The sequence below is a fragment of the Homo sapiens genome, chromosome 10 (genome assembly GCF_000001405.40).
Source record: "Homo sapiens chromosome 10, GRCh38.p14 Primary Assembly".
Lineage (NCBI taxonomy): Eukaryota > Metazoa > Chordata > Mammalia > Primates > Hominidae > Homo > Homo sapiens.
This window is the reverse complement of record NC_000010.11, coordinates 114,084,787-114,109,936: the sequence shown is the minus strand read 5'-3', so window position 1 is coordinate 114,109,936 and position 25,150 is coordinate 114,084,787.

Sequence of the window (25,150 nt, the reverse complement as noted above, 5' to 3'; positions counted from 1 at the left end):
CCACCCTGCCAGGCCCCTTTTATCTTATAGATACTCCTTTATCATAGTTAATAGTTCTTTGTATTAAACTTCGATTTTATCCACTATGTGATTTCTATTTCCTGATTGGACCCAGCTCACTACTGAAGCTGAGCATGAAGAGCTCTGTACAGCCTTCTGAAAAGGCACAAAGACAAGAGGTTGCTGTTTGATGCTCAAAAGATTCATGCTTAAAAAATGAAAAAAGACCATTTCTTCTCATTCTATTATTTAACAAATTCATACAACATCATTATTTATGTGCAAGGCACTTTGGGAGATAAGTGCATAACTTGGAACAAGATGGGAAGAGATCAGTGCCCTAAGATGGCACTGATAGGGGTGGGATTTTAGCTGGAAGAGACAGCATTTGAGAAGGACTTTCACAGATAGGAAGAAATAGAACATACAGGAGGAAAATCAGAGGGGGAAGTCCAGATGGAAGAAACCTCCATGCCTTTTGCTCAGGGCAAAAGTTGCTGCAGAGGTGGTAACGTGGAATGTGTAGAACGTGTTCACCTGTTTGTTCCATTTGGCTAGAACTTTGGATCATGTTCTTGGCACCAAAAGATGGCATTTGTTTTGCCATTGCCAACCTTTATCATATTTAGCAAGAAATGGTAAGACCTATAGGAAAGGAAGGGACCTTAGGAAGTTATCTAATTAACAGTCAGGCTGTGAACAATCTTGAATGTCACACATAAGAAAATGGCCAGGCGCAGTGACTCATGCCTGTAATCCCAGCACTTGGGGAGGGCGAGGCAGGCGGATCACCTGAGGACAGGAGTTCAAGACCAGCCTGGCCAACATGGTGAAACCCTGTCTCTACTAAAAACTAGCCAGGTATGATGGTGGGCACCTGTAGTCCCAGCTACTCGGGAGGCTGAGGCAAAAGAATCGCTTGAACCCAGAAGGAGGAGGTTGAAATGAGCCGAGATCACACCACTGCACTTCAGCCTGGGCGACAGAGCAAGACTCTGTCTCAAAAAAAAAAATAAGGAACTGAGTACTAGGTTTGCCAGAAAAACTGCATTTAAATAGAACGTCACAGATGAGGATCCCATCCACTCTAGTATATTGACAATCTGTTCATTATATCCATACTTAACTTCAGGTTAAGGGTAACTCCTGAATAGTTTGAGAAATTATTTTGACATATTTCTCCCCAAAGAGGGTAATTTTCTCTTCAAAATTGAGTGGACAAACTAATTGTCATCTGCCAAGTGCAGTACTGCCTCGCATTGCTTTCAGTGACTCACGGGTGTATGAAGAAATCGTGAGCTCCAAATGCCCAGTGCTTTTCCTCAGTGGAGGTGGCACATAGCTGTGGGTGGGGAAGAAGAAAAATGAGGACAGGATGTCAATAAGGTAACAAACAAGATGACAACAAAGTGATCTGGACCTGGGTTGCAGTAAGAGACTCAAGAGGGCCTGGTTAGCACATCCAGACTCTTCTGACAGTCTGCCACAAAGCATCCTCCAGCCTCAGAGTTTTCTCAAAGACCACGGGGGAAAATGAGGAGAGTTCAGACCATTCCACATAGCAAGTTAGTTAAATAGAGACGTGTTGAAAGAAATTATGATGGTTAGCAATTGTTGTGTCTTGAAGAAATGGAACAGAATAGTGTAAATAGAACAAGGGATACCCTGGGCCATTTTGAGAAGACATCTATCAGCCGAGCAAAATACGGCCACGTCAAAGGATGCTCTAGAGGGCTCATGGGCCGCTCTAAGAGATGTGTGTGAGGCCAGAGTTGCCATGGTTATAATCATGGCCTTGAACAGCTAATTTTTTTTTTTTTTGAGACAGAGTCTCACTCTGTTGCCAGGCTGGAGTGCAGTGGCACGATCTCGGCTCACTCCAACCTCCGCCTCCTGGGTTCAGGCAGCCTCAGCCTCCCGAGTAGCTGGTACTACAGGTGCGCACCACCATACCCAGCTAATTCTTGTATTTTTAGTAGAGATGGGGTTTCACCATGTTGAACAGGATGGTCTCGATCTTTTGACCTTGAGATCCGCCTGCCTCAGCCTCCCAAAGTGCTGGGATTACAGGCATGAGCCACTGTGTCTGGCCAACAACTAATTAAAAAAAAAATCAGTGAATATGACAACACTAGCAAACAAATGCCCCCCTGACAAGGGACTAGGAGCAATTTCACGCTTATCTGTCTCTTCTGATGACATACATAAGGGCAGAGACAATGCCTCCTCTCCAGCCATATTAATCCACAGCTGTATTAATGAAAATGGCAGGTTTGGGAAGTTTTTTTCAAAAGAATGATTTTTATTTTTCATTTTATTATTATTTTTTGAGACCGAGTCTTACTTTGTCACCTAGGCTGCAGTGCAGTGACGTGATCTCAGCTCACTCCAACCTCCACCTCTCGGGTTCAAGCGATCTTTGTGCCTCAGCCTCTTGAGTAGCTGGGAGTACAGATGTGAGTCACCAGGCCCAGCTAGTTTTTGTATTTTTAGTAGAGATGGGGTTTCACCATGTTGGCCAGGCTGGTCTCGAACTCCTGACCTCAGGTGATCTGCCGGCCTTGGCCTCCCAAAGTGCTGGGATTACAGGCATGAGCCACCGCACCCGACCAAAAAGAATGATTTTTAGTTATTTAATAAAGTTAGGTCCCTAATTCCTTAGATTGCATACAAGGGGCTCAGCATTTGATTCGAGATCTGGGCTCATAAGCTATAAATCAGGTACTGTTTTAGATAACTTACGTTGATTTATTTTATTCTTGCAAAAAAGAAAAAACCCATTTCAGAGATGAACAAGCTAAATAAGATTAAGCAATGTGTTTGAAGTCATTTGGCTAGAAAGCAGCTAGCTTACTAACCAGAGAGCCAGAATTTGAACTCAGGCTTTCCAACTGTAAGGTTTATGCTCTCAGGCACGACATGAAATTTCTAGTCACCAGGGTCCTCAGCCCTAACACAGTGCCAGGCACAAACAGAATGCACAGTCACCTCTTACTGAATGAGTGAATGAGTTATAAATTATTCAGTTTGCTCCTAACCACTATTTGTCTAAGCAGTTGCAAGATCAATTTACACAGTGCCAAAGGAAAATTAATCCAGGCGTATAACACTATTAAATAGATCTCTGTACTGGTCACATTTTCCCTAGGTAGTTCAGATTAATTTGTGCAGCCCAAGATATAATTTACCCTGCAGATCATTGAAAAAGAATATACTGCGCCCAAATTATTATAATATTAAAAAATGCCATGTATTTTCTTTTAAATTTTTTGGGCACATATTTCTTGCTGGTATGTGAGAGTCTCAAGGAACGCTTTTTGCTCTTTGCCGGTTTTTTAGCAAGCAGGATATGGGAATAGACGTCAACTTTAAGCAAAGACAAAAACTGTCCTGGTAGTGAACTGCCCCTTCATTTTTGGTCATATTTCAGCTGAAAGGAAGCAGAGCTCTGATGTTACATATTAATATGTAGTAGAAAACAACACTATCTTAGGAACCGCTTCAAGTTATATTGTAAATTATATCTTATAAATATAATTTTTATATTTTTAGAAATTTTGTTTTCTGTACTGAAGAGTTCCCTGGTGAGACATTTTGCTAAAAACAATAAGATGTGAAAGATTTTTTGCATTAACTGCTTTGGTTGAGTCATTTGCCAAGAGCCCACTAAAAGCTCTCTGAGCTTCAGTGTTCATTGGCTGGAAAAGGGTTATAGTTTATCATTTTAAAATTCCATTACATATTGTAAAGTAAAGATATTGACTATATAGATCCAAGATTTCAAGGCCAAGTACTAGCCAATTAATTGTCATGGATCAAATATCTGTGAAAGATGCTGTATTAGGGTTCTCTAGAGGGACAGGTCTAATCGAATAGACGTATATAAGAATGGGAGTTTATTAAGGAGAATTGATGCAAGGAAGCCAGTCTGAGTCCCAAAACTTCAAAAGTAGGGAAACTGACAGTGTAGCCTTCAGTCTGTGGCCAAAGGCCTGAAAGCCCCTGGCAAACCACAAGTGTAAGTCCAAGAATCCAAAAGCTAAATAACTTGGAGTCTGATGTGCAAGGGCAGGAAGCATCCAGCATGGAAGAAAGATGAAGGCTGGAAGTCTCAGGAAGTCTGCTCTTTCCATCTACTGCCTGTTTTATTCTAGCTGCACTGGCAGCTGATTAGATGGTGCCCACCCAGATTGAAGGTGGGTCTGCGTCTCCCAGTCCACTGACTCAAAATGTGAATCTCCTTTGTCAACACCCTCACAGACACTCCCAGGAACAATACTATGCATCCTTCAATTCAATCAAGTTGACACTCAATATTAACCATCACAGATGCATAGAAGGAAAAAAGAAATATTCAAGTAGAAATCTATAGACTTAGTTGTTAGAGATGCAAGTAATTACTGCCTTGTATTAGCACATAATCATTAAAATGGAAAATTAAAAAAATCTTATAAACAGCCTCAAATGACATGAGTACAAGTTTTTCTGCAGTATGTTCCCCTTAGTTTTATTAATTTTGACCATTGTCATCACTCTATCCTCAGCTGAGTGTACTTCCTCTAAGTACATAAATTTATATTAGTTTAGCTAATATAAAACTTCCACTACCCAGATGTTTTAACAACTCTTAAAAGAAGAAAAAAGAAAATAAATGTAAAACAAAGAGCACCCTGGGATGATAAGAACATGTAACAGAGTTAGCGACATTAAGCATTAAAACCTTAAGTGGCTTTAAAAAATGGGAGCCATAAAACAATGATTTCCCCCAGGCGCGGTGGCTCACACCTGTAATCCCAGCACTTTGGGAGGCCAAGGCGGGTGGATCACGAGGTCAGGAGTTCGAGACCAGCCTGGCCAACATGGTGAAACCCCGTATCTACTAAAAATACAAAAATTAGCCGGGTGTGGTGACACACACCTGTAATCCCAGCTACTGGGGAGGCTGAGGCAGGAGAATCACTTGGAGGAGAAGGCTGCAATGGCTAAAAGTGTACATTCTGGAATCAGACTGTCTGGTTTGAGTCCTGGCTCCACCATCACTTGATCTAGTTGCTTGACTTTTCTGAGCCTCATTTTCCTCATATGCAAAATGGGGGTGCTAGGAGGCCCCTTCCTCATAATATTGTTGTGAGAGTCAGATGAGATAATGAGGATAAAACCCATTTTGTACCTGATCACATAGTGCCAGAACTGAACACGTTAGCTATTAATATGGTTTGGCTCTGTGTCTCCACCCAAATCTTACCTTGAATTGTAACAGTCCCCACGTATCGTGGGAGGGACCTGGTAGGAGGTAACTGAATAATGGGGGTGGGGCTTTCCTGTGCTGTTCTCATGATACTGAGTAAGTCTCGCAAGATCTGATGGTTTCATAAAGGGCAGTTCCCCTGTACATGCGCTCTCTTGCCTACCACCATGTGAGACATGATGTTGCTCCTCCTTTGCCATGATTGTGAGGTCGCCCCAGCCATGTGGAATTGTGAGTCAATTAAACCTCTTTCCTTTATTTTTATTTATTTATTTTTTTCAAGATGGAGTCTTGCTCCATCACCCAGGCTAGAGCGCCGTGGTGCAATCTCGGCTCACTGCAACCTCCGCCTCCGGGGTTCAAGTAATTCTCCTGCCTCAGCCTCCTGAGTAGCTGGGATTACAGGTACCCACCACCACACCCAACTAATTTTTGTAGTTTTAGTAGAGACAGGGTTTCACCATGTTGGCCAGGCTGGTCTCGAACTCCTGACCTTGTGATCCACCCTCAGCCTCCCAAAGTGCTGGGATTCCAAGTGTGAGCCACCACACCTGGCCAAACTCTTTCCTTTATAAGTTACCCAGCCTTAGGTATGTCTTTATTAGCAGCATGAGAACCGACTAATACAGCTATTGTAATGGGAGAGAGTTCAGAACCCCAGCCCTGAACATGGTTCTTCAAGGGCTGAGGACATTGCAAGATCCTGAGCACTAGGCAAGGACCAACCGTGCAAATGGTGTGATGTGATGAAAGACGTGGTCTTATCCTTATAAAAGCATTCCAAAAGAAGTACAAATAGTAAAGGCACAGTGATGCGCTGATCATGGAACTCCTCATCTCCAGCACTGAAGATGGCAAGGAATTTTCTTACATGTGTACGTGTAGTTTTGGCACTGTAGATGACATTAGTATGAAGAAACAAGCTGTCACCTGCCACAAAAGATCAGGCAAAGCAGTTTCTGGTCATCACCCAATGTACCAAAACAGATTCAAAGTTAGTTCTTATTAATATTCTTCTCCCTGACGAACCTAATGATGGATTTTTAAAAATGTATTTGAGTAAAAAAATAAAAATAATTTATAAAGTCTAAGTCTAGCAGATTAGGCCTCCCTGACGTAGTTGCTCCTAGAAAATGTGTGAGTTAAGTTTATGCTCTAAATGCCACTAGATGGCGGATGAATATTATTAAACCACCCAATCTTCACAGACAAGTTCTGGGAACGACACGCTTTCCTTCTCATCATCCTGCCCTGTCTGCAGGATCCTGGGAGGTCTCTCCTGTAACTCCAGCTTTTTTCAGTCCTTGTCTTTCCAGTGTCAGGTGAAAGGCAGATACTCAACCCCTAGAAGAGTCTACGACCCTGGATGGCAGGCACTAGCTTAATCCAACATATGATGAGTATGATTTTACTGTGGTCCAAACTCCTAATGCAGAAAATATCAAAAGCTTTCCAACCTTTGAAAATTTTATTTCTAAGTCTTTCAGAGCCAGACATTTGGAAGAAAGGGCAACGTCCTTGCAGGCATTTTGCAGAGCACTTGTTAGAGAGGATGTGCCCGGTGTTCTGTGATGCCACCTTCCTGCCGCACATCAGCCAGATGCACGTCTCAACCTCCCCACTCCCAAACGGGCAAACAACTCCACTGCTACCTAAATCTTTAACTTCTTAATTTCAGAAATCGGCCGGGCGTGGTGGCTCACGCCTGTAATCCCAGCACTTTGGGAGGCCGAGGTGGGTGGATCACGAGGTCAGGAGATCGAGACCATCCTGGCTAACATGGTGAAACCCTCTCTCTACTAAAAATACAAAAAATTAGCCGGGCGTGGTGGCGGGTGCCTGTAGTCCCAGCTACTCGGGAGGCTGAGGCAGGAGAATCGCTTGAACCTGGGAGGTGGAGCTTGCCAGTGAGCCCGAGATCGTGCCACTGCCACTCCAGCCCTGGGGGACAGAGCAAGACTCTGTCTAAAAAAAAAAAAAAAAAAAAAAAAAAGAAAGAAAGAAAGAAAAGAAAAAGATATTAATTGGTTCTTTTGGGGGGAGGCAGATGGGGAGATATTGAACATAATTGCTGGCACTCCAAAATTTGGGAGGCTAGTTTGGACTATACTTGAGTGATCTTATCAAAGGATCTAATTTTTTTTTAGTTCTTTAAAAATAAGGTTCTGAATTTGAGCTGCCTCAGCTGTATCCTCTCTGGAGAGAGTTGATAATGGGATTGCTCAAGCAGTCTTGTAAACAGAGAAGTGTCCTCCTGGAAAAAGAGCTGGGCTTTCATGTCATGTCACCACAGGAAGCAGAAACCCAGCACGTTTTGCTTTATGGTTTAAGATTTTGTTACATTCAATGTAATTTGCTAACTACGACAAAACTACCCCCCCCCCCCATTGTTTATAATTATCTAACTAATCATTCTTTTTTTTTTTTTTTTTTTTGAGACGGAGTCTCGCTCTGTCGCCCAGGCTGGAGTGCAGTGGCGGGATCTCGGCTCACTGCAAGCTCCGCCTCCCGGGTTCACGCCATTCTCCTGCCTCAGCCTCCCAAGTAGCTGGGACTACAGGCGCCCGCCACTACGCCCGGCTAATTTTTTGTATTTTTAGTAGAGACGGGGTTTCACCGTTTTAGCCGGGATGGTCTCGATCTCCTGACCTCGTGATCCGCCCGCCTCGGCCTCCCAAAGTGCTGGGATTACAGGCGTGAGCCACCGCGCCCGGCCAATCATTCTTATTTCTGGAGAAAAACCAAAGGTAGCTAATGCCAAGGCCCCTGGTTTAAGAACCAAGTCCCCTCTCCCATTTCCACACGGTAGATGCTGATTCCAGATTGCAGCTGGACCTGCTGACCTGAGAGAGTGCCCGTGGTCTGGAAAGGATCCATGTGAGGGAGACAGGACAAGGACCTTACAGTCTGAGAGAACACAGTATGGCGATGACAGGGAGCAGGGATCCCGGGTGGTACGCGAGGAAGGGACTGTCCTGTGGTGGATGCTGTTCCTCTTACGTGTACCCTAAGCCACCGTCAATTCCTAGCCCTGTGTGGGTGTCGGGAGCTGCTCAGGGTCTCCCCTCTGACAGAGGTATGATGTTCTCACTGATGAGCCACTGGCCTTTGCTGTCAGCTGAGACGTTGGCAAAGCACCTCCTCCTCACCCAGCCCCTCTGCAAGTGGTGGCCATGTGGCCACATGGCTTTCTGGTAAAGGATCTATTTCTTGGCTTGGCGAAGAAGGAGGGAGAGAAGCATTTTCCTGCTTCCAGATGAAGTCAACACAATCATTTCCTTCTTCCCTCCCCACTCTGCAGGCCGGGAGCTGGGCGCTTTCTCTCTCTGGCTTCCTGGAAAGGGTTATTGGAAACGGGGCCGTACGTGAATCAAAGGATGCAGAGCGAGGAGGGAACCGAGCCTGCCACGGTCAGGGGCGGCGCGAGGCGGGGAGCCCAGGCTCTGCGGAGGGAAAAGCCGGGCGCGGAGGAGCTTCACCCTCTTTTCGGAGCCCTGTCATTTATTTGTCCCAGTGTCTGAGCAGAGCTTTGAACGGTGCCGTCGAAGTGGAAAGCGAGCTGGGAAGAGCTCCCGTTTGGAGCTTCCAGCCGCTTCGTTCCGACTGCAGCTGCCAGCCCCTGTGGCTTCCCAGCTTATCACTGGCTGCGGTTTCCCACGGCGTGAACCACGGCCCTGACCTTCTGTTTCCGTCCAGAGCCCACGCTTCACTGGCTTTTAGGATTTTCCGAGGGATCGCCTGTCTCCGTCGGCGCCCCTGTCCTCCCCGCCTCCTCCTTCTGCTCCGGGTCCCTGGCAGCTCTGGGATGCGGAGCCAGGCTTCCCTCCTCCCTGAGAACTCCGGTCCCCTCTCATGTCGTTCTCTCCCTCTGTAGGTGCGTTTCTGGCTTGATAGGGAATTTTTCTCACGGAGCCACTTCCACGTGGAGTAGGAGAATTTTTACTTTTGTGGCTGAGTACGTTTCTGGAGCTTGGATAATAATACTGGGACATATCTAGCAATGTGCAGACTTGCTTTTCACGGTGAGTGAAAAGTACGACTTTTACTATTAAGAACTCTGTTGTGCTGCGTTAAGAGCTGGAACTGAGTCCTCATTTGAGGACTGTTAGGAAGATGGACAATCACCCACCATTCCCCGGGAACCACATCCGATGCGTGCACGTTACCGTGCCTGTCTGGAGACCAGCGGACTTCAATTCGCCTTACTTCAAAGGTCACTGGGAGGGAAGGTTGGGTGCCTCACTCATGGTCTGACATATCTGAGTCACACATCTCCCAAGCCACCATGTCACAGCCCGGGTGGGGCACCAGCCTCTCCACTCAGCATGAGGATTACAGGTTTGAAGTTGGCTTTTGTTGACACAATTGGAACCATTGCCAATTGTTTATATTTTGATAAGGATCTAACAATCATCTTGAAAACCACAAAGATGGTGATCATGAAGACACAAAGGCATATTTCTAATGAATTCAAGTTCATGTATGTTATCTAAATCAATGAGTAGGAAATTGAATTCTCAAAACACTGAGGTTTTGGTCTTGGAGCTGGGCAGGGTGCGAAATCATCATCTAGGGCGGTCGTTCGGCGGAACCTGGCTCAGAACACAGAATGTGGCCATCTGGCGGTTGCACATATGGATTACGTCTCTGTCACTTTCAGCAGTTACTATTACTTTTTTCTTTAGACAGTCTTGCTCTGTCGCCCAGGCAAGATCAGGGGCGTGATCTTAACTCAACAATCTCTGCCTCCTGGGTTCAAGCAATTCTCCTGCCTCAGCCTCCCAAGTAGCTGGGATTACACACCTATGCCACCATGTCTGGCTAATTTTTGTATTTTTAGTAGAGGCAGGGTTTCGTCATGTTGGCTGGGCTGGTCTTGAACTCCTGACCTCAGGTGATCCGCCCACCTCGGCCTCCCAAAGTGCTGGGATTACAGGCGTGAACCACTGCACCCAGCCCAGCAGTTAGTATTTTAACCAAGTAGTGCCTAATCTCTGCTCCCCTGATAAACTCAGCAGCGACCCCCTGCCCTGTATCCCACGCTACTCCACTTCCAGCAGGGACAAAAGCGTTTTCCAGCCCTTTCAGCAAGGGGGAGTGCTCTGCCCAGAATAGAGCTTCACTCCTCGGCCACCCATTCCCCAGCCATCCAGCACTGAGGGACTCTTGTTCCCACTGCTTTGAGAAATGTCCCCTGAGAGGTCAGACCCAGTTTGGACACTGCAAGCCTTCCTTCCCGAGGCAGGGAGGAAAAGGTGAAATGGCCCCATAATGCAAAACATTGCTCACACCCAGGTTTCACTTCCTGGTCAGAACGCAAAGCAAAACCACCTGCTCCAACTCAGTCTCTGGAAGGGTCCCTGGGAAGCAGGGAAAGGAGAAACAGTAGAATTAAAAAGTAGGCCTCCTGGCCCAGTGCAGGGGCTCACACCTGTATTCCCTGCACTTTGGGAGGCCGACGTGGGCAGATCACTTGAGGTCAGGAGTTCAAGACCAGCCTGGCCAACGTGGTGAAACCCCATCTCTACTAAAAATACAAAAAATTAGCCAGGTGTGGTGGTGGGTGCCTGTAATCCCAACTACTCGGGAGGCTGAGGCAGGAGAATTGCTTGAACCCAGGAGGTGGAGGTTGCAGTGAGCCGAGATTGTGCCACTGTACTCCAGCCTGGGTGACAGAGCCAGACTCCCCCTCAAAAAAAAAAACAAAAACAAAAACAAAGTGGGCCTCCTGTGGGTGAGCAGAGTCCCTTCTGGCTTGGGTGGGGAGGGGAGAAGATGCGCTTTTGTTAAACCCACAGGAAATAAGTCAAGGTCAAAAAGCTGTTTGAATTGGAGTCAGATCTATCTGAAGAAGTCTAATTTGTGTCAGAATCTTTGTCATTCTCTGCCTGTTGCTCAAATAGGGCATGTGATTATTGAACAAATCACGAGAGATAAGGAGGGCTGTTTCAGCTTTCCCTGGAGGTGGGGTGAGGGTCATAAGGAGTGGGGACTGGGGACCATGTATTATTTCCCAGTGCTGCCTAGGATCGAAGAAACAGTTTGTTGTAAATATTAATTGAATCAATGTTGCCTGAAATTAAAGGAACATTATAATTCGTGCCTGTGTGTATAACCCTCAGGCAATTAAACGGTGTAGAAGTCAGTCAGTCAGAGGCCCACTATGCAATAGCAGCTGTGAGGCAGTGTTTCCCCACCTAAATAAATTGTTTTATTTGATAAAGAATTTTCAAGCTGGATGCGGTGGCTCATGCCTATAATCCCAGCACTTTGGGAGGCCAAGGTGGGAGTATTGCTTGAACCCAGGAGCTCAAGACCAGCTTGGGCAACATGGCAAGACCCTGTCTCTACAAAAAATAAATAAAATAAAATAGCCAGGCATGGTGGCACGTGCCTGTGGTCCCAGCTACACAAGAGGCTATGGTGGGAGGATCGCTTGAACCCAGGAAGTTTTGGCTGCAGTGAGCTGTGATCATGCCACTGCACTCCAGCCTGGGTGACAGAGAGAGACCCTGTCTCCAAAAACAAAAAAAAAAAAAAAAAAGGAATTTTCAAACTGGGGCATATGGACAAAAGTTCACTCTTCTTACTGGGTGTGAGACCTCAGGTGAGTTACTTAACCTCTTTGAGCCTGTATTAGTTTGCTAGGACTGCCATAACAAAAGATCACAGACCGAGTGGTTTAAACAACAGAAAGTATTTTCTTACAGTGCTGGAGGCCAGACATCGGACATCAAGGTGTCAGCAGGTTTGCTTTCTCCCGAGGCCTTTCTCCTTGGCTTGCAGATGGCCACTTTCTTGCTGTGTTCATATGGTCTTCCCTCTGTGTTTGTCTGTGTCCTAATCTTCTCTTCTTATAAGGACACCAGTCAGATTGGATGAGAGCCCACCCTCATGACCCCATTTCAACTTAATTACTTATTTAAAGGCCCCTTCTCCAAATATAGTCACATTGTGGGGTTCGGGGGGGTGGTTAGGGTTTCAGCATATGAATTTTAGGAAGACAGAATTCAGCCCATAACAGAGCGCCAGTTTCCTCACTGGTAAAACGGATAAAATTTGCCCTCCTTTCTTGTTTTGAGACTCAAATGAGGTAAAGTAAGAAAAAGGACTTTGGAGGGTGTCAGGTGCTAGACAAAGGAAAGTGGTCATCCCATAGAGGTGGGACAGACCGCTTCGGACGATGTGCCTATAGGTCTGGTGAAAAGTTGTATTCTCTGTACACACCCAAGATTTGGAGGCCAAGTTCCTTGTGAAAAGATACATTTGCAAAGAGGCTACTAAATGTCATGCCTTGTTGGGAATTTGAGCCTAGAGTGATATTGCAAATAAAACATTCATTTATTTATCCATCACCATCATCGACTGCACGCCTACTCCGTGCTGGGCCCTGTGAGGGCCCTCACCTATTGCTGAGGCCAGATGGCAAGGAGGCTGGGTGAACTCAACAGGAAATTGAGCAGAGAGTGGACTCCTGGTTTGCCTTCTCTACAGCTTTCAGGGAGCTTCACTGAAAATCTCTCTTGCAGTCAACAACTTCCCTCTGGCTTTCTCTTCCTCAGTTATAAATGGCTTCTCAGGATCCGGAAGTTCGGAAGAACTTGGATGTCATCCTGGGTCTGGAAGTGGAGCCACATGGGTCAAACTCAGGCTGGGACGAAATTCACTTCCTGTCATTCTTAGGGACTGGGTATCTGACACAGTGAGATAAGCCTGGGTTCTATGAAAGACAAGGGCCAGTTACACACACCTCTACACAACTCTCCCCCCAACACATGCACACACACATACACACACACACATGCACAGAGTCCAGAAGAGCTTGCACCTTGGCTAGAGAAAGCAGCATTGGTAGTTTTTAGTGTTAGGAATTTCCAACCCATACTGAAAGCGTGTGCTTAGTTCACAGAGGGCAAAATAATACCATCGTGCACCACTGACCTCTGTCTCTTGGCTTTTGAAATTTCAAAGCTGAATAAGAAGCATAATGCCCACCCCGCCTACCTCAGCTATGGGAACCCCTTTTCTGTTGGGCTCTACTTCATGTGATAGGGGTGAAAGAAGATGAGAAACACAGCTCTGTACCCCCATGGGCATCCAACAGCAACATGGTGACACCTTCATTTCTTTTTGGTGCCAAGTCCTGAGTTTGAAGTCTTATTCTTCAAGAGGAATCCCAAGAAGAAATAAGTCAGCAGCTACAAAATGAATACTGCAATACATTGAGGTAGACACCAGCCTACAGTCCTAAGGCAGGAAGGGGCAAAAAGAGCAACAGGAAAGTACAGCTTGCTACATGAAAAAAGCAATCTCAAAAGAATGGGAAGATGGACCTCAGGCATTTAAGGTTTTACCTCGGAACGCCAGACTATTCTGTATCTTGGAAACACTCTTTCTTTTTCTTTGGACTTCAATCTTTATTTCCAAATCAGGACTGGAAATGGGAATTATGAAGCCAAAAATATCAAACAGCCTCAGATCCTTTGGTTAAAAACATCAGCGGCAACACACGACTGAGCTTACCTCCCCCATTCTTGACATTTCATTATAAGAGGAAAACCACAAGCCGAACTTAGCAAAGGCTGTTATAATTAACTCACAAGCCCTCGTGTGCTTACTAGTGGTTTTTAAGTTTCTGAGGCTTAGATGTAATGTAAGATGTGTTATTTAATATGCATTATGGAGGGAGGAAACAAAGACACATTTTTATTCTCTTTTGCTATACAGCAGCCTGGTTGGTTCCATTCCATCCATTTAATTTACTGTTTCCAGGCACAAGGGAATTGTTTCCATGTGACACTTATCTATATAAATTTGGGATAAACGGAATTAACGTGTCAATTGAGGTTCTTGATGGCAAATAACAGAGACCAAGTCTGGCCCTGTGAGGCAAAAAAGGAATTTATTAAAGTGTATTAGGTGACTCAGAATCCCAGGAGGCTGCAGAGTGAAGCTGGGAGGCTGTGTATCCCGCGACCATTCCGCAAATCAGTTCTAGCGGTGGTCCGGTGGATGGATACCCTCCTGTCTTTGCTCTGGGCAGAGATGCTGCAGCTTGCCCTGAGAGCACCCTGACATTGCACAAGCTGCTGGGTCTCCTGTAAACTGGCTGTAGTGGCCACCATCCTGCCAGTGCGCCCACAAGTCCTAACTGGGCTCCCCTGGTTCTCATTTGGTGCCCCCTTCTCATGTTCCTCCTCTAAAGATCTCTACTCGAATCCCGCTCCCTGCCCATTTTGGTTACCCTTACCCAAAGGAAGGGGGCTCACACTCTAGAAACACACACACACACACACACACACACACACACACACCCCCTGTACCCCAGTGGCTTTTGCCCAGGTTGGAGTCATTTTATCCGCAGTGGCCCCTGGGGCTTCATGGTCAGTGATGTTGAGAGAGGTGGTCCAGACCCTGTGGTGATCAAGTTCCCCAGGCAGGGTCTCCTTGTTCCCAATCCTGCCGTGGACTTGGAAGGCACTCCTGATTCTTTACTTAACCATTTAGAGCAAGCTCACACATGTCTCCAAAGGACAGATGTCAAGCCTTGGGAGACAGTATATTCTGAACTCATATCAGGAAAGAAGAGTCTTATATTCATTGCAAGGTTCTTTTCTGACATGGTCTGTGAGCCTCATTTTTATGCAGAGTGGTTACCTTGGAATCCCCCAAGACAGTTTCAGGCCCACACTATTTTCTATTGGCTACTCCCATTGGTGGACCTGGCCAGGGCTCCTGGCTGACTGTGTATGGCAAGATCCTTCCCCATCTCCCTCTTCGGGGTGGGGGATAGTACAGGGCCCGGTGCTGATGCTTCCCATCACCATGTGATGTCACTCCTCATGTGCGGGTGGGGCAAGGCCATATACAGAACATTTGAGGTGGTGGAATTACCAGCTTGAGAATTAACCGTTCCTACTTTTCTCAAGTTGTAAGCTCTACGACAAAGAAAAAGAGGTAGCTTTTTTCCCTTCTTATCCCAAATGAGGAGCCAGGTTCCGTGTCCTGGATGTCTGAACTTCTTTTATCTCCAAGGAGCATTAGATATCTTTGTTTTCAACAGTCGGAGTTCCTGTGTGAGACAGTACACAACCCACTGGAACGACAGGGCTCTGTGGGGTGAAGAGGAGGACAAAGGGAGCAGAGCCCCAAGGCTGGTGGGAGGGCAGGAGAGGAGACTCTGGAACAGTGCAGGGCACTCCCACGGGCAGGCACTACCTCAAGGAAGGTGACAACTTGGATAATGGCTGCCTGCCTGGAGGCCAGTGAAGGACAGGGTACTGATCTGTCATGCAGGGCCCTGATAGCCAAGGCAAGTGTCTCCCAGTACCGAACCTAGAATGCAGGGGCTGGCAAACTTGGTATATTAGTCCGTTCTCACATTGCTGATAAAGACATACCCGAGACTGGGTAATTTATAAAGGAAAAAGGTTTAATGGAGTCACAGTTCCACATGGCTGGGGAGGCCTCACAATCATGGCAGAAGGCAAAGAGAAGCAAAGGCACATCTTACATGGCAGCAGGCAAGAGAGCTTGTGCAGGGAAACTCCCATTTATAAAACCATCACATCTCATGAGACTTATTCACTATCACGAGAACAGTATGGGGGAAACTGCCCCCGTGATTCAATTATCTCCACCTGGCCCCATCCTTGACACGTGGGGATTATTATAATTCAAGGAGAGATTTGGGTGGGGACACAGCCAAACAATATTGCTTGGCATAAACTGCCTGTTGGCACCAGGATGGACCTGACCTGGGCTTGCTGAGCTAGTGAGGCTTGACTCAGACAGAACCACAGCACTGGAAAGACAGCGGTGGGCAGTGGGCTATGCCCACAAGCACATAAGGTGATGCAAGGCAAACCAGCTGAGTACGACCCTAGACTTAGAGAATTGTTTAGGGCCCCTCTATGTTCCCAGAGGTCCCGTACAGCCCAAGAGTAGGGGTGGCAGCACCAGAGAGTAAAAAGGATATTGGATTTCTTCCTAACTCTTCAAAAGACACTTGTTTTGGAATGATTTCAGATTTGTGGAAATGTTGCAAAGATCATACAGAAAGTTTACGTCCTTCACCCAGCTTTTACCATTGTTACATTTCCATGGTACATTTGTCAAAACTCAGAGATGTCATTAGTACCTTTTATTACTAACTAACTTCCAAACTCTGTTCGAATGTCACCAGTGTTTTCATTAGTGCCCTCCTTCTGTTCCAGGAGCCACTTCTGTGTACCTTAAAGCATCTAGTCGGCATATGTCCCCAGTCTTCTCTGGCCTATGACAGTTTCTCAGGCTTGCCTAGTTTTTTGTGACCTTGACACCTTGAATAGTACTGTCCAGCTAGCCTGTGGAATGTCTCCCAAACTGGGTTTGTGGAGATTTTTCTTACGATTAGATTTTTCTTATGATTAGTGGTGGGATTTGGGGAAGTGCCCTTCTTATCCCATCACATGGAAAGTATACCGTACCCACATGGCATCACCAGTGTGCCAGCCCTCATCACTTCATTAGGGTGATGTCTGCTGGGGTCACCACTGAAAGAATTCTTTCCCCTTTCTCTATTCTATTCTTTATAAGCCACCCTAACACCTTTTAATTTGCAATAGAAAAATAAAGAAGTGCGATGCTATTTGCAACTGAGTGTCATGGAAGAATTCTTGCCTGTTATATTTGTCTTTGAGCAAGGGTTTTCTTGAAGCCATCAACCAAAAGTAGTAACTCTAATGGTAGGAATTTCAGGCTTTGTGACAGTTGGGTGTGGGCGTGTGGGCTTCGGCGACAAACGTAAGCAGCGTTCTCCAACCTACCACTCAGGCAGTGCCCTGCTCCGCCTGGATATGGGGACAGACCACGGAGAGTTTGTTTATAAAACCTTGGTATAGGGTTTGAAAACTTAACACTCCTATACACACGAGGGACCATCTTACCAATTATTTTCTAATGCAGGATGTGAGTGCACATTTAGAAGGGGTGTTGATTGTTTACTCAGGACAAATTAAGCATCTTTGGTGTGGAGCATAATTAAAGAAATATGGTCCCTTTCTATTTCAAATCCAATGAGACAGTCACTCGATTTCAAGAGCAAGACCTTTCCCACACCTTTGAAATTGGAAGCTATTCAAGGATAGCTATGGAGACAAGCATGCAACAACCCCTACGTCAGTGTTCATGATCCTTAAGTAAAGGGATGCTGCCTCCAGAGTCTTGTTGTTGCCAGTTTCAGCTATTTTTCCAACTGCTTTTGATGACCCTGAGAGTTATGGATCTTCAGACTTAATGCTTTAGACAGAAAGTACTTTTGCCGTTGGAATCAGCAGAAAGTTTCTATGAATCATTCAGAATATCAGAAATGACAGTCAAAGTAGTTACTGGAACATTACAGAAGTTGTTTATGGGGCTTCTGACTTGTAAAGAAGCAATGAATTTTGCAGCAGACTTAGAGCAATAAAGCACCATGATGTTTATTCACATGCTGTGCTGTCAAAATTAAAATTCAGTTCCATACATCTTTGACTTGGATCTTCAATAGAAATCATCTCCTAATATCCCATTAACGGGGGTTGTCACCATTGTTCTGCAGAAGGTTAGAGTGAGGTGGAGATTTGATGGAAGTCTTTGAAGAGACTGTGGAAGTCAGGACGAGGCCTATGTGACTCTGAGTTCTGGAAGGCCTGGCTAACCTTCCTGAAGTCAAGCTTCTGACTTAAAGATCAACGCTGAAGCTTACCTCCCACACCCACCTCCATCTGGCTCCATTTTGACCTCTGCTTTTATTCAACACCTTTTGTGGATGTCGGGCTGCTGGGCAGAGGATAAGAATGAGATGCTGCTTGTGGTCCTGAGAGGCTCAAAATTTCGAGGAGGTAAAGGAGGGGAAGGGAGGCCTGAGGATGAACAACTGGTCAATTAAAATCAGTGGCTGGGGTTACCCAGGTGACAAGGTGGGGTGGGGAGGGCAGGACGTTCTGGACAAAGACAAAGCAGGTTAAAAGGGCTAGAGACAGGCTTGGAGAACTGCACGTAATTAACCCAACTCAGTATTAAAGGAGATTTGAAAGCTACTTTAAAACTCTATGCTGTGGGCATAAGCACTGATAAATGGATAGAATAGAATAGTTAACTTCGGAGACACCCAAGAATATTTAAGTGCTTAATAGATAAAAAAAGGGACCAATGAGGGAAGATTTGACTTATTCAAAAAGTAATGGGAAAATTGGTTATTTGCAAAAGATTAAACTTACGACCTCACCTGATATATTAAAAATCATTACATGTGGACTAGCATAACATAAAACAGTCTTTTAAAAGCAGAAGAAAATATGAAATTGAGCCCTTTCTAGGTGCCACATCAATAGAATAAATTATTATGAAAAAGAATAAGATTTATGTAGCCAAAGAAACACTAAACAATAAAAAGGCAAACGACAAACTGGCAAAAATATTTTAACACTATGATAAAGGGTCAATACCTTTATTTTACAAGAAAACCTTTCAAAATAATAAGAAAACAGTGCAATACGGCCGGGCACGGTAACTGACGCCTGCAATCCCAGCACTTTGGGAGGCCGATCGCCTGAGCTCAGGAGTTCAAGAGCAGCCTGGGCAACATGGCAAAACCCCCACCTCTACAAAAAATACAGAAATTAGCTGGGTGTGGTGGCATGGCCCTGTAGTCCCAGCTACTTGGGAAGCTGAGATGGGAGGATCCCTTGAATCTGGGAGGTGGAGGTTGCAGTGAGCCGAGATCTCACCACTGCTCTCCGTGCAACACAAAAACACACAAAGGTCATGAAGAGAAGCACAAACACCCAGTGATCATGGAAGAATGTTCAACCTTAGAGATAAAGAAAGAATGGGCCGGGCACAGTGGCTCACGCCTTTAATCCCAGCACTTTGAGAGGCCGAGGCAGGCGGATCATGAGGTCAGGAGATTGAGACCATCCTGGCTAACACGGTGAAACCCCGTCTCTACTAAAAATATAAAAAATTAGCCGGGCACGGTGGTGGGCACCTGTAGTCCCAGCTACTCGGGAGGCTGAGGCAGGAGAATGGTGTGAATCTGGGAGGCGGAGGTTGCAGTGAGCCGAGATCACACCATTGCACGCCAGCCTGGGCGACAGAGTGAGACTCTGTCTCAAAATTAAAAAAAAAATAAAACAAAGAAAGAATGCACACCGACCGAAACAACAAGATAGCATGTTTTCACCTGTCAAAGTGGCAAAGATTGCAAAAGAAGGGACTTTGGCAATGGTACCGTGAAACTTCAAAAAACATTCATCACCTTTGACTCCAAATTCCACATTTAGGAAACTATCTGAAGGCTAGAATTTTGAAAACAACAATCTTTTTTTTGAAAGTATACTTCTTCCATAAATATGTGCTAATCGTGACAAAAAACACAAAACTGTAGCTTGTGCCTTCTTTTATGCCATTTTATAATAGTGTAGAGAGAAAAAAAGCATTTGCTGTCAGCTTGCTGAGTCATTAACACAGTGTTTACAGGCAAGTTACTTAGCCTTTCTGAATCTTGGTTTCTTTTCTTATTTTATTTTATTTTATTTTTGAGATGGAGTCTCGCCGCTGTGTTGCCCAGGCTGGAGTACAGTAGCACGATCTCGGCTCACTGCATCCTCCGCCTCCCAGGTTCAAGCGATTCTCCTGCCTCAGCCTCCTGAGTAGCTGTGATTACAGGTGTGCACCACCATATCTGACTAATGTTTGCGTTTTTAGTGGAGACAGGATTTCACCATGTTGATCAGGCTGGTCTCAAACTCCTGACTTCAAATGATCTGCCTGCCTTGGCCTCCCAAAGTGCTGGGATTACAGGTGTGAGCCACTGCACCCAGCCTCACTTTCTTAATTTTCAAAATGTTTATTTGGCTTTTTATGTAGTTTCTTTAGCTACATAAATCTTATTCTTTTTCATAATAATTTATTCTATTGATGTGACACCTAGAAAATGCTCAATTTCAACCTTTTCTTCCACTTTTAAAAGGCTTTGTGTTTTACTTTTATGCTAATCTTCCTGTAAATTTTTTTTTTTTTTTTTTTGAGACAGAGTCTTGCTCTGTGGCTCAGGCTAGAGTGCAGTGGCATGATCATGGCTGACTGCAGCCTCCAACCCCCTGGGTTCAAACGAGCCTCTTACCTTAGCCTCCCAAGTAGCTGGGACCACAGGGATATGCCACCACGGCTGGCTAATTTTTTGTGTTTTTTGGAGAGACAAGGTCTCCCTGTGTCACCCAGACTGGTCTCAAACTCCTAGGCTCAAACACTTCTCCCTCCTTGGCCTCCCAAAGGGCTGGGATTTCAGGTGTGAGCTACTGCACCCAAACTATAATGTGTTTTAATATATCAAGTGAAGCTGTAATTTTATACTTTTATAAATAACCAGTTTTTCCCATTACTTTTTAAATAATCCAAATCTTCCCTCATTGGTTCTTTCATTATCTATTAAGCACTTACATGCTGTTAGATTAATTCTTTTTTTTTTTTTTTTTTTTTTTTTAAGATAGAGTCTCACTCTGTCACCCAGGCTGGAGTGCAGTGCCGTGATCTCGGCTCACTGCAACCTCTGCCTCCCGGGTTCACGCCATTCTCCTGCCTCAGCCTCCCGAGTAGCTGGTACTACAGGCTTGCACCACCGTGCCTGGCTAATTTTTTTGTATTTTTAGTAGAGACGGGTTTTCACTGTGTTAGCCAGGATGGTCTCGATCTCCTGACCTCGTGATCCACCCACCTCGGCCTCCCAAAGTACTGGGATTACAAGTGTAATCCCAGCAAGGGGAGGCAAGGGAGGGAGAGAAACCCTGAGATTCCACCAGCACTGTGCCAGGCAGAGTCGGGGAACTGGGGGACTGCTGCTTATTTAAAGTATTGGCAGGCACACAAAAGCTGCTCGAGAGATGATAGAGTCACCTACGCCCTCATCATTCCATTCTAGCCCCTCCACATGTATGTGCTGATTCGATTTCAATTAATATGGACACATGCTCCCAACACTTCAAACCATAATGGCTTTAGGAATCTGGTGGAGAGTAGAAATCTAGCAGAAGAGGAGTTAAGGAAGTGATTTTGGAAAATTCTAAGAATCCTGATGCTGCTGAAAAAAAAAAAAATAGGTGGGCGCCATGCAGAGCAAACTAGTCCCAATGTTCACGTGAGAGAATGGAGCAGAAGCTGATAGGAAATGGACAGAAGGTCTGGACCCCTAGGAGTTCAGCATTGACCGGCCTAGACCAAAACACAAACACAAAAATGGCCAGGTGCAGTGGCTCACACCTGTAATCCCAGCACTTTGGGAGGCTGAGGCGGGTGGATCACTTGAGGTCAGGAGTTCGAGACCAGCCTGGCCAACACGGTGAAAGCTCTTCCTACTAAAAATACAAAAATTAGCTGGGTGTGGTGGCGCATGCTTGTGGTCCTAGCTACTTGGGAGGCTGAGGCAGGAGAATCACTTGAACCCGGGAGGCAGAGGTTGCGGTGAGCCGAGATCATGCCATTGCACTCCAGCCTGCGTGATAGAGGGAGACTCTGTCTCAAGAAAAAAAAAAAAAACAAAAAACCCACAAAACAAAAACAAAGGAGGCAGTTGGCCCTGGAAGTTTTCAAGACACATCTGTCTTGAAGGAGGCCACCCAAAGTATTGCTCCACTTGAACCTGAAAAGACAGTCCTGAGGTCCTGCCATGTGCCCATCTTTCCACAATAGACACTCCTCATTTGTGTCACCATAAATGCCCACTGTTATCTCTGCCATTGTTATTAGTAGGAGGCTCAAACTAGCGTGGAGATGTTGGTTCACAGGAGAGCCACTGGGTGGGGCAACTTCTAGCTCCTTCCCAGAGTCCCACTGAAAAAGTGGGCACAGCCTATCTTACAGCTGAAAACTGGGGCAGACAGACCACCTCGTGCGAGGAACACGGAGGAGTGTCTATTGTCTATAGCACAGACCCCAGATTAAAGAAAGGGACTGACTCTGTAATGCACACATCAGACAAGCTCCCTGCCCCCAGAGACCACAGCCTGAAAAACAGCAAAGCCCTCCCCACCATATCTATGAATTCCTGGGGCGTATATTCTCATGATCCCTTCTGTCTCTGGCCCCTCTGTCCCTCCAGCTGCCTCTGCATGGCCCCATATCAGTCTGGCCAGAAACGCAAGCCCTTCAATGCTTTTCACAAAGAATTCCCCCATATCAGGCGCTTCATGAGTTTAGTTGCTGTAACTCCATGCTTCTCCACTGGGGCAATTTTGCCTCCTAGGGGTCATTTGGCAAAGTCTGGAGATATTTTTGGACGTCAAAATGGAAGGGGAAGGCTACTGATATCTAGTGGGTAGAGACCAGAAATGCCACAATGCATAGGACAGCCCTCTGACAAGAAAGAATCACCTGACCCCAAGCATCAGTAGTGTCGACATTGACAAATTCTGCCTGAACCGAAGAGGTGAAGGTCATGGGGCTGGTGACCTTGCACGGGGCATGGGTTTCTCCAACTCTATGACTTCACTTTCTCTTTTACCTACTCCGTTACTTCTCAGGAGCAAAACAAATTCCTCACCCTGTGTCATGGCCTACGGTGAAGCGGCCATCTTTAGTAACAAGATTGTGGCTTTGCCGTTTCTTCCATTCGACCAAACAGCTTATCAAATTATTTCTTCCACATACAGTGCACTCCCTAGGCTAAATTCTGGTGAATATAATATTCCCCCAATCTTACTACACACACATGTAAAGGAGTCACTTATCTGGGAAGTGGAAGAGGCTTAGATCCTTACCAATATCCACCCCATTCGACGATCAGGGCTGGGGAGGCGCGTGCATGTGGCTGGGGGAGGCAAGGGAGGGAGAGAAATCCTGAGATCCCACCAGCACTGTGCCAGGCATAGTCAGGGAACTGGGGAGCTGCTTGCTTGGAGAACAACTGTATCAGACAAAGAGTGTTTGCTGCTGTAAACATGAACAGGGCCCCCCGGTATGTAGGGAATCCTCTACCAAGGGCTTATGGTGTTGCTTTTCTCCCTTCTCTTCCCTCCCACCACCATGCTCTCTGCAGAAGCTGCCAGACCTCTGACCCAGGGGAGGGAAGCTGGTGTCAATCTCTTGACTTGTGTAAAAGAAATTCAAACAGGTGGCCCCATCATTCTGAAAGACTGTGCTTCAACTTCCAATAGTGGATGGAGGCTACTCATCCATCTCTCTCTTGAAGACTCAGCTCGGACAGAACGCAGTGGACACGGAAGTCTCCGCAGTTCACCTATCTGAGGAATGGAGCAAATAGCTCCCTGTGAAACAGACTCCGAGCAACAAGGTCCTAATCTGTGTTCTCAGTAAAATCCAAGAGGTCATTGCTGCTGGGAAAACGGTCCAAGCAGTCTCGAGGAGTCCACCTCTGTGAGCAGGAAAGACAGCATGGAGATGAAAACTGTGATTGCCAAACTGCAAGCCCCCACGGAGGCCCTGGATACCACAGAAATGTAAATCAACGGAGAAGATGAGTTTGAGAAACTCTCCCGGAATCCAGAGGAAAGAAACATGAAAAGGGGATTATGGGGTGAGGTTAGTAACAATAAATATTATTTCAAAAAGAGATTGGGGGATAGAAGGTGGAATGGGAGTAAAATGCCATGGGGAAAAGATACTCGCAACTGCTAGAGGTTGAATAAAAGGTGGCAAAGCAGGGGAAAGAATGGGCCTTTTCCTGTAATAGAAAGGGTAAGTTCAGACTTTACTTGGAAGTATGATGTGTCCCAAGAACAGGCAAACATATATCATCTTTTTTTTTTTTTAAGTTGGAGTCTCACTCTGTTGCCCAGGATGGAATGCAGTGGCATGATCTTGGCTCATTGCAACCTCCCACTCTGGGGTTCAAGCGGCTGTCATGCTTCAGCCTCCCGAGTGTCTGGGATTACAGGCGTGCACCACCACACCTGGCTAATTTTGTATTTTTTATAGAGATAGGGTTTCATCATGTTGGCCAGGCTGGTCTTGAACTCCTGACCTCAAGTGATCCGCCCACCTCGGCCTCCCAAAGTGCTGGGATTACAGGCATGAGCCACCGTGCCAGGCCAAGCCTTCTTAATGTGAGATTCAGCCGAGTGAGGATGGCTGGGCCTTGCCACTCTGGCCATCTGCATCTTGACAGCAGTATTTGGAAAGTCTCTGCCTAGCCCACACGTTTCCTTCTAACAATACTACAAAAGTCTGCAATCTGGGACTTTAGAAAGACAGTAAAAAAGATCTGATAAGAATGACTGAAAGCACCGCTATTAAACAAGAATTGCAGTTTACTGCAATTAATTGAAGAATAATTTATATCACGCATGTGCATTTCATGCACCTATGTGACCTGTACTTCTGATGTAGGTGATTATGATATTGATTTCCTGAGCATTGGGAGTTGGTGAAAACCCTCTGATGGGTGTGGCTGAGGATGAGCTTGTTTGCTCTGCTGTGCTCTGGATTTGTCTTCTGCCTGCGTCCGGGTGTGGCCACTCCCGTTCTGCAGGTGCCACGCTGTTCTGAGAGGCCAGGATGATCATTATTCTTCTCCACTTGGTGACCTTGTTCACAGACCATGCAGTCTTCACACCAAAGCTGCTGCAGCGTCCGCCTGCATGTTCCCACTGCCTGCCACCTGTGTGTGCCCTTGGTGCCCTGCCCCTGTCTGCTTGCTCTAGGATGCGATATGCTCTTTAGAGGGTGTGTGTACTGTGCCAATATAATGTGTTAATTCTGCTTTATTTGATGTGGAAAAACATTTCTAATTGGAATATGAGATAAAAATGTATCCCAAGGTAGCAGAAACCTGGACTCAATAATACTCCCCATATACACCTTAAAACAGGGATCCCCAACCCCTGGACTGGTACTGGTCTGTGGCCTGTTAGGAACCAGGCCGCA